The sequence below is a fragment of the Homo sapiens genome, chromosome 3 (genome assembly GCF_000001405.40).
Source record: "Homo sapiens chromosome 3, GRCh38.p14 Primary Assembly".
Taxonomy (NCBI): Eukaryota; Metazoa; Chordata; class Mammalia; order Primates; family Hominidae; genus Homo; species Homo sapiens.
Genome location: NC_000003.12, coordinates 30,496,848 through 30,506,836, shown reverse-complemented (window position 1 = coordinate 30,506,836; position 9,989 = coordinate 30,496,848). Strand labels below are relative to the sequence as shown.

Genomic DNA, 9,989 nt, shown 5'->3' with positions numbered 1-9,989 from the left:
TCCTCGCATCCCCAGGATGAATCTCACTGACCGTGGTGAATGATCTTTTTAATGTATTGCTGAATTTGCTTTACTAGTATTTTGTTGAGGATTTTTGCATCTATGTTCATCAGTAATATTGGCTTGTGGTTTACTTTTTTTGCTGTGTTCTTGTCTGGTTTTGGTATCAGGGTAATGCCGGCCTCATCGAATGAGTTTGGAAGTATTCTCTTTTCTTCAATATTTTTGAAGCATTTAAGTAGAATTGGTATTAGTTCTTCTTTAAATGTTTGGTAGAATGTGTCAATGAATCCTTCAGATCCTGGGCTTTTCTTTGATGGAAAACTTTAAATTATAGCTTCAATCTCTTTACTTGTTATTGATTTAGTGAGATTTTGGATTTCTTCATGGTTCATTCATGGTAGGTTGTACGTGTCTAGGAGTTTATCTATGAAAGGGAATAATCTTGAAGAGAGATGCTACAAAACCCAGAAGGAAGCCGTTGCACAAGAGCGCCTGGGTGATGCAGGCCTTAGTACTGAATCACAGAGGAAAGAAGCAGACAGAAAAGGCTGGAGAATTGATCTGATAAGGCAAGTAGTGCAAAAAAAACCACCACATTATTATTAAACATTTCTTTCACAGTGTCATTTTCAGGAGAATCAAATATGGCAAAATACTTTGAAAAGCACAATGTGTGATATGACTGAAAGGCCTATTTATTAACTTTTTTGACCTATTCATGACTCAAGGTCCTCCCTGGGTCTAGGTGAGATTTCCCTCTATCAGTTAAACGACTGGTGGCGCAACTTGGAATGCTTGGAGAGGGGTGAAGTGGGATGAGAGATTTAAGTAAGAATCCATCCACTGTAGTCACCTAAGCTCTAATAACCATCTTCCCCCATCTTACCGTGTTTCCTTTAAAACTCTGAACTCCAATAACAGACCTCCAATCAGAAGGGGTGAGGGAATAGTTATAGAAAGACAAAAAAAAAAAAAAAAGAACAAAAAACATGAATAAGCAGTGTAATATCCCATTGTTTCTTTGAATTTAGACTATCATGGACAAAAATTATCTACGTTTGCCTTTTTTACCTCAGATCAAATCCTGTGTAGAAACTTTCTCAAATGCTATATTTACCATGAAGCATGTTTTGACCTACTCTCCGAACAGAAAGTCACCTCGCATTTTCCTGACTACCTACTGAACTTTATTCTGTATTTCTTAAGTGCCAAATCTCACCTTATGCCCCATAACATTGTTATGTAGAAACTTGTAGATCCCTTGCAGAGAGGAAGTAAGCCTGATTCATTCACCTTTGTAAGTTATTTTCCAAAATGTTTGGAATTTTCCAAAATGTTTAGAGTGCCAAGTATTTAGTAGGTATTATGGGCTAAATCGTGGATCCCAAATATTAATATGTTGAAGTCCTAATCCCTAGTGCCTTGGAATGTGATTGTATTTGGAGACAGGGTCTTTAGAAAGGTAACCAATTAAAATAGAATCGTTAGCGTGGGCCTTAATTTAATATGACTTGTATTCTTATAAGAAAAGGAGATTAGGACACAGACATATACATGCACAGAGAGCCACCATGCAAATGCACAGCAAGAAGGGGAAAATCTGTAAGCCAAGGAGAAAGGCCTCAGGAAAAATGCATTCTGCCAGCATCTGATCTCAGACTTCTAACCTCCAGAACCACAAGAAAGCAAATTTCTGTTGTTTAAGCCATCCAGTTGATATTTTGTTATGGCAGCGCTAACAGACTAATACAGTAGGTATTCAAAGAAATGTAACTCACAATACTCTATTTACATAGCTCAGCTGTTCCATTATACCACATGTCTAAACTTGACTGGAATTTAATTCATTTAACTTTTAGAAAGTGTATGTCTGGGTCAGGAGTTTGAGACCAGCCTGGCCAACAAGGCCGCCTCTACTAAAAAAAATACAAAAATTAACCAGGCATGGTGGCGTGCGCCTGTAATCCCAGCTACTCGGGAGGCTGAGGTGACAGAATTGCTTGAACCCAAGAGGTGGAGATTGCAGTGAGCCAAGATCACACCACTACACTCCAGACTGGGTGACAAAGCAAGACTCCATCTCAAAAAAAAAAAAAAAGAAAAAGAAAAAAGTGTATGTCTCAAACGTTTAGAGCTGGAGAGTGTTCTTGCCTTTGAAGAGAAAGTTAATAGAATTCACTCACAATTGACATTCTGTAAGGTACAAGTGCTAAGAATGTATGTGCCAGAATCAGTTGGCCCCATGATCAAATGTCAGCTCCCCTTTTTACTGTTTGACTTTGAGCAAGTGATTTAAACCTCTACACTATAGCTTTATCAGCTGTAAAACAGGTATAATAGCAGTTTTCTACCTCATGATTTAGTTGTGAGGACCGAACGAGGTAAGTCCATGAAAATTGCTGAGAATAGTTCTGAGACCAGAGTAAACAATCTTTTTTTTTCTAAGCTGTTATATAATAAAGCTATCGTAAACTAGGGTAATTATGGCAACCATTACAAAAAGAGCAAATGAATCAGCATCTGTATCAGAAGATCCTATAGTTGACAAACACTGTCTCATATTCTAATATACATTTTTAGAATCAGAGAGGTATAATATAGTTTATATTCACAGAATCAGGGACTCAAGAGCTTAGAAAATGGGGTGACATGGGGAGGCCGAGGTGGGCGGATCACGAGGTCAGGAGATCGAGACCATCCTGGCTAACACGGTGAAACCCCGTCTCTACTAAAAATACAAAAAAAAAAATTAGCCGGGTGTGGTGGTGGGCGCCTGTAGTGTCAGCTACTTGGGAGGCTGAAGCAGGAGAATGGCGTGAACCCGGCAGGTGGAGCTTGCAGTGAGTAGAGATCGCACCACTGCACTCCAGCCTGGTGACAGAGCAAGACTCCATCAAAAAAAAGAAAAGAAAATGGGGTGAATGAAAGCAGAGTTCTAGTGGGCCATTTTACCTAAGAACAGGTATTCCTTTTTTCTTTAACTCCCAAGACTGTCAGCAAATATATACTCAATGCAGGCAAGCAGAGAAATTTTGGTGTGACATATGGCACAAATACCAGTTTTCAAATGACACCCACAAAAAGTCACTAAGGAAGTAGAATCTGCCTACTGAAAGAATGAGGAAGATTCTGGGTCATTTGTAGAAAAACATTGACTGGATGTCTGTCAGTCTTATGATGAATCATAACTGAAGGGCAGACAGCTAGATGTCTTGGCATTTGGGGGTTTATGTAGAGACCCAAGACCTGAGTCCATTCCCCAGAATCCGGAGGAGGCAGGACTGATTCTGCTCAGTAAGGAGCTGATATTTTCATCTGTTTTCCATGTTGGAATAGGCTTTTCTGGAAAGAGCTAGGTGGACGGGAAATGGGATCAACAAGAACCTCAGATACTGCCTCAACCTAGAACTTGCATTAGTTGGTTTCCCTGTAGCTTTGCAAGTATGCAGGAGAGTAAAGAGTGTCATTAATATTCATCAACAGATCTCTACAGAGAAAAAAACAACAAACTATTTCTTGGTCTCTGGTTCTTTAAAGTATAGATAATCATAACGTTTCATGTAAAAATTGTTGCATTTCATAAAGTAATAGGTGTTTAAACAGAACAATAATAATTGAGCACTAGTGCACATATTCTCCCCCAACCCTGTCTCTCTGCCACTCCAACTTCAATACCCACTTGAACACCCACACCCCTCTAGTTTTTATTTCTGTAGAAGGAAATAATCTGAGAATGATGACTTTCATTTATTGAGTTCCTACTATGTGCCAGGTGGTGTTTAATTTCATAACAACTTTGCAACGTATGTACTCTCTCTGTTTTATAAATGAGTCTCCAAAAAGTGAGTAACTTGTCCAAGCTGTAACAGCTGATGAGCTATGAAACTAGAATGTAAAACAAAATTTGTCTGGTGATAGCCCCACCCATTTACCACATTATCACATGAATGGTATGCATGAAAGATTACACAAAGTTCATCTCATTTACCTATTGAGTCATGAGGAACTAGTCACCTGGTCTAAGCAGGTGCTCAGAGGCCACTGTTCTCCATTCCATAAGGATACACAATCACTCTTCCCATAGTTAAGACTCTTATGAAGGGCATAACCAAGTTTCTCCCTCCCATTAATAAAAACTTACTATTTTACTGCTGTCAGGCATAACTCTTTGTGCAATACAAATACTTAGCAATGTCTCTGCTTTGTGGTTCTAGCTGGGAGTGGTAATGGCAACATCTTAATTTGTTTCTCCCACCTTGCTTCTGACAAGGAACATGGTTGGGTCACGAATCATGATTTTAGCATTCACAAAGAACTATAATATCAGGAAATATGGAAGGTTGGGGTGGAGTGTGAAGGAGAAGAGGCTGCTGGACTGACCAGAGGTTTCCAGAAACAACACACTTGTCCAGGACTTGTAGCTGAAGAAGGTCATAACGAGTTGCCAACAGAAAACAAAGGACCTGTAGTCCCAGCCAAATCTCTGCTTACCTCTTACCAGCAGCTGTGGGTGCTTTTGCTAACATCTCACATCTGCAGTCTCATCCAGGGAAGTGTCCTTGGGCAACAGGAGCTGCCTAGCCCAGTAGTGTCAGGAGTTGGTGTCCTGACTCCTTCTGTTCCCACCTGGGGCAGCCCTGATCCAATGACTCACCAGCACAGGATTCATTTCTTCATCTTAAGATAGGGCAGGCTCTGTGGTACAGTTTACCCTCCAGAGGGTAAGGATGAAGAATAAAGATAGATTTCATCTGAAACCACATCTTTGCCTAGAGTTTTTTCCCCTTCTCTGTCCTATTTCTCTCACTTTCTTATAGATTTCTCTTGGAAGTACTCCCTGAATAGATCACGTGCATAAGAATTCCCATCTTGAACCCTGCTTCTAGGGAGTTTTTGGCCTAAAGAATTTTCAGAAGCCAGGTGACAAAACCAGAAGAGCAAAGATGCAAAGACTTAGAGCAGGGACCCAAGGGGAGAAGTGGAAGTGCTCTCTTGGTGAGTTTCTATGACAGGACTTCTCCAGTATCCTTATTGGTGGGCCATAGCCACATATATGGCTGAGGGTATGAAGGCAGGGAAGAGGTGACAAGGAAGAGGAAGAACAGGAAATTCAAGAATCTCTTTCAGAATTCTAAAATTCCTAGAAAACTACTCATTTCCTCAACTCTATAAGTTTTATGACATCTCTATTCTTTCCACAAAACATTCCACTTTGACCTTGACCCCTCTAGTAACTGAATTGGTGTCTTATAGGGCATAGTTCAATGTCATTTAAGTCTGGGCTTTAAACCCTACTAGCTTTTTCAGTCTTTTGGGAGGGGATAAGGAGGCATTGCTAGAGTAGACTGTTCCAAAAGTGTGGGGCCTCCTGCCTCAGCACAGTTCTTTTCTTCTCTTTTTCGCTTGGGCACAAAGGGAAGCACTTGACTATGGCAGCCACACAACACTGGGACGCTCAGACTCTGTAAAGAAGTGATGAACCTCAAAGTCTTTGGAAACAAATAGAGAAATTTTCTATCTTTATTCAACTTCCATATACTTAATGAGCATGGGGCAGAGGGACTCAAAGACAGACAAGACAGACTTGAGTTCTGCCTTCATGGAGTAGGCGGTCTGGTACAGACAAAGAAGTAAACAGACAGACGTAATCCAAAGGGGTATGTGTACCATCAGTGGCCATGTGTACCATGGGAACTCAGAGGAGTGGCAGTTCTACCAGATTTGAGGGACAGGGAAGCCGTCCCAAAATATGACACTGAAGCCAAGACCTGAGGATAAGTAGGAGCTACTTGGTGCAAAACACAAAACCAAACCAAAACAAACAACGACAACAAAAAGAAAACAAAACAGATGGAAACTTTTGCATCAAAAGGAGAGAACAGGCTGCCTGGAGATTGGGAAGCAAGAGAGTAGCTGGGGATTTCTCATAGCCAAAGGAAGTTGAAAATGATTAGAGTGCAGAGGCAGAGGTCAGGTTGTGGAGGTGCACAAATCATTTCGAAAGCCAAGTTAAGGAACTGGGGTTTTACCCTATGAGCAAGGGGTGGTTATTAATAAGTTATTAGAATGAGCAATACATATCACTATAAGAATTTTAGACAGATTACTGTTGCTTTTACATGGAGGATAAGATTAGAGGTACAAAAATAAGTTAGGAGTTTCTTACGGCAATTTAGAAAAGAGAGAGAGAGATAGTAGTGGCCTGGACTGGACTAGAAATAAAGAGTTCTTTAGAAGGTCAAATGAACAGAACTTGATTTAGTGTTGGGGTAGAGGAAAAAAGTGAGGGAAACTGAGAACCCAAGTGTGACTCTAAGGTCCTGGGTTTGATGGTGAGGACATTTACCAGAATAGGAAACAACAAAGAAGAGATGATGCAGGCCGGGCGCGGTGATTCATGCCTGTAATCCCAGAACTTTGGGAGGCCAAGGCAGGCAGATCACCTGAGGTCAGAATTTTGAGACCAGCCTGACCAACATGGCGAAACCCTATCTCTACTAAAAACACAAAATTAGCCGGGTGTGGTGGCACACGCCTATAATCCCAGCTACTCCGGAGGCTGAGTCAGAAGAATTGCTTGAACCTGGGAGGCGGAGGTTGTGGTGAGACGAGATCATGCTATTGCACTCTAGCCTGGGCAACAAGAGCAAACTCCGTCTCAAAAAACAAACAAACAAACAAACAAACAAACAAACAAAAAAGAGACGATTCAAGGAGAAAATGAATTCAGTTTTAAAACACTATGATTTTGAGTGGTCTGTAGAACATCCCAGAGATCAGTTACGTATATAGCTCTGAAACCTAAGAGAGAATTCCAGGCTGGACGTCCAAATATGGGACTCCCTGGGATAGAAACTATAGCTGGTGCACATTTAGGTGAGAATTATAGAACAAGAAGATACAAGGGCCTGGTACAAAAGCCTGAGCTATTACCGGATCTCCATAGAAATATCTGAACTAGGACTCTGCAGGGACTGCATTGGTGGTGGATAAAATGATTGCAGCAATGATGATGATAATGATATTAACAGTTAATAGTTACTGAATACTTCCTATGTGTCATGTGCTATATGCTGTCTATTTTTCTCTCATTTAACCTATAGCATTACTATCAGGTATGGATCGTTATCAGTCCCACTTTACAGATGATGAATACAGCCTCAGAGAGGTGAAGTGACTTGCTGGAGTTCACGTGGTGAGGAAGGAGCAGAGCTGGGGTTTCCATGAAAACCTGTCTTTTTCCTCATTCATGGCTCTCAACTGTCAAGTGTCCAAAAGTAAAATCTGAAATACTTCCTCAAGACCTGCCAAACTTCATCAAATGTGTTAAATTAAGTTCACTATCCTTTAGGGTGGGTGTAAGATAAATCTAATGGTTTAAAAATTATTAATGAGCTATTTATGCAACTGATATTAACTGTTAATTAGGACATTTGCTCATCCATAAGATATCATTTCTTCATTAGTATAAGGGACACAGAGATTTGGCATCGTGGAATTCCAGAAAAGAAGTGCAAGAGGGGATCTCAGAATATCTAATTAAAACCTTTTGATCTACAATGGAGAAAGTTCAGAGCCCTCAAATTACTCAAGAGCACAAAATAATTGCAGAGTATCTTGGGGCTCTTTTACTTCTATTCCATTTTTTTTCCATTTCTCAGAGCAGGAACATGTCCCTTGTGCCCTAATACAGCCCCCTTGGGAAATACAGAGCCATAATTCATCCCAGGGGGCAACCCTGGCCTGACTCTCCCAATTCTGGATTTTATCTTCCTCCACCCTGCTGCGATACTCCTGAGTACAAAGCACACACGGCTGGAAGCAGCACACACTCTGGCTTCCTCTCCCATGTGCCTTGGAGGTCATTTTATTTCATTTCTATTCCTCTTGTGAGCTGCTTGCACTTCTGTGTAAGACAGATTTATTTGGAACCAATTGCAGCTGCCAGTTAGAGGAACCCTCTATGAAACATCTCTATGAGACAGCCATCTGAGACTGACCTTCAGGACACCACTGTGCTGTCTCCTGCCAACTTTCAACAGACATATCCAGGAGCAAAGTACATTGTGTAGCCTGGAAAGCCTGCCCCTGTGGTCTCTTCCTTTGTCCCCTCTGACTGTGGTGAGGGGCAGCCTCTATTGACAGTGTGGGAACATGGGAACACAAGACAGAATGCCCTTTGGGCACCCGTTCTTCCTGAATTTAAGTTCCAGGTAATTTCACAAAGTTGGGAGGAAAAGGATGGAAAAGAAGGAAGAAAATGAATATTTCCTACATCTTCTATGGGTTAGCCCTGGAACACCCGCTTTGTATAAATAATCTCTGATTCCTCACAAGATGCAAGGTGACACAGCTGGCAGGGGCAGAGCTGGGCTTTGAACCCAGGCAGAATTGTTCCATGTGCACCATATTTCCTGTGCCCCATATACCTTATTAGTGTCTCAAGGATGCTAACATTTTCCTAATTAGCTACATTTGTCTTCTTTAGGAAACTCTGGAACCCCAAAGTGCTTCAAGAACTGCAAAGAGAGTTCTTGCAGTGATAGTAAGATATCTGTGAAGTGAATGAAGGATGGTATGGAGAGGAGCTGGAGTTCATGTAGGAAACATGGATGAGCCTAATAAGCTTTGTTCCCTACAACTGCTAGCTAGGACTCATTGGGTCTGCAAACACCGTGAACCTTATTGGACAAGAGAAATGTTTACTTACTTGCATACCCTCATGTGTTTTAAAGCAGAGTCAGGGAGAACTATGCCCCTTCTCAAACACGTCCTCTCTTTTGGTGATCTAATAAATTACTGGGTGAGTGTAACAGAGAAAGGTCAGGCTGGGCGCAGTGGCTCACACCTGTAATCTCTACACTTTGGGAGGCCGAGGTGGGTGGATCTCCTGAGGTCAGGAGTTCGAGACCAGCCTGGCCAACATGGTGAAATTCCGTCTCTACTAAAAATAAAAAAAATTAGCTGGGCACGGTGGCATGTGCGACTGTAATCCCAGCTACTTGGAGGCTGAGGCAGGAGAATCACTTGAACCCAGGAGGCAGAGGTTGCAGTGAGCCGAGATCAGGCCACTGCACTCCAGCCTGGGGGACAGAGCAAGATTCCGTCTCAAAAAAATAAATAAATAAAAAATAAAGGTCAGCAAAATACCCCCATAGCAGTAGTGATTCTCACTGATAGCCTCTCTGTGGCTACAGCACAAACTCTTCCACCCTTCTTTCTCATTTCCATCCCTAAAAATATTTGCTGTTATTTGCAAACCTAAAGAGACTAAAGAAATGGGCATAGACCAGTGGAAGTCTCCTTAGAGTTACTTTCACTGTGCATACTTTAGAGAAAGTAGAAAAGTTTTCCAAGAAGGGAAAAAGGGGCCACAAATTATATGTTTGACGCACAACTCCAAATCCTGCCCACTATGTCTTCTCTCATCATTCCTGATACAATTTTAATTCTTTCTTTTGTTCTCTCAAATATTAACAAGAGTTCATATCCCCTGGTATCACATCAAGTTTATTCTGGAAATACTAAACTCTCCACAGAGACTTGGGACAAAGAAACATAATTAAAGGCTCTTATCAAGTGTTATGTCCTAGTTTTGTCCTAGTTTTACACAATGCTTTTGATGAATGAAGAAAATGGCAATAAGTAATTTGTTTTTTTTCTGCTGGAGAATAATATGGGAATAGGAACTTGCACAGCAACAAGCTTGGAAAGTAATCTGTCCTATAGTCTCTGAGTCTTAAAAGCTCAGTCTACCTCTAAGAAAGGAGAGGCAACTCTACTTTTATGGGATGTCTATGTGTGTGGAGGGGAGTATGAATGAGGCTAGTTATGCTGTAAAATAGCCACATCGTTTCTTGCTACATTTTTGTGCTTCCAGCCCATATACACTTCGTGTGTTTCTTGGCTTCCTTATTCGGATGAGGCACCAGCATTCAAGTGAACTGAGGGTGCAGTTTTAAAAGCTGCTTTTTGCGACAGGGGTG

General features: G+C 41.3%; 1 annotated feature.

Annotated features, from left to right (window-relative positions):
* Positions 5,918-5,967: an enhancer, noted in NCBI's record as "active region_19624". NCBI's record gives its function as "activates an Ori minimal core promoter by ATAC-STARR-seq in GM12878 lymphoblastoid cells {active_cell/tissue: GM12878}" and the evidence as "EXISTENCE:reporter gene assay evidence [ECO:0000049][PMID:35858748]".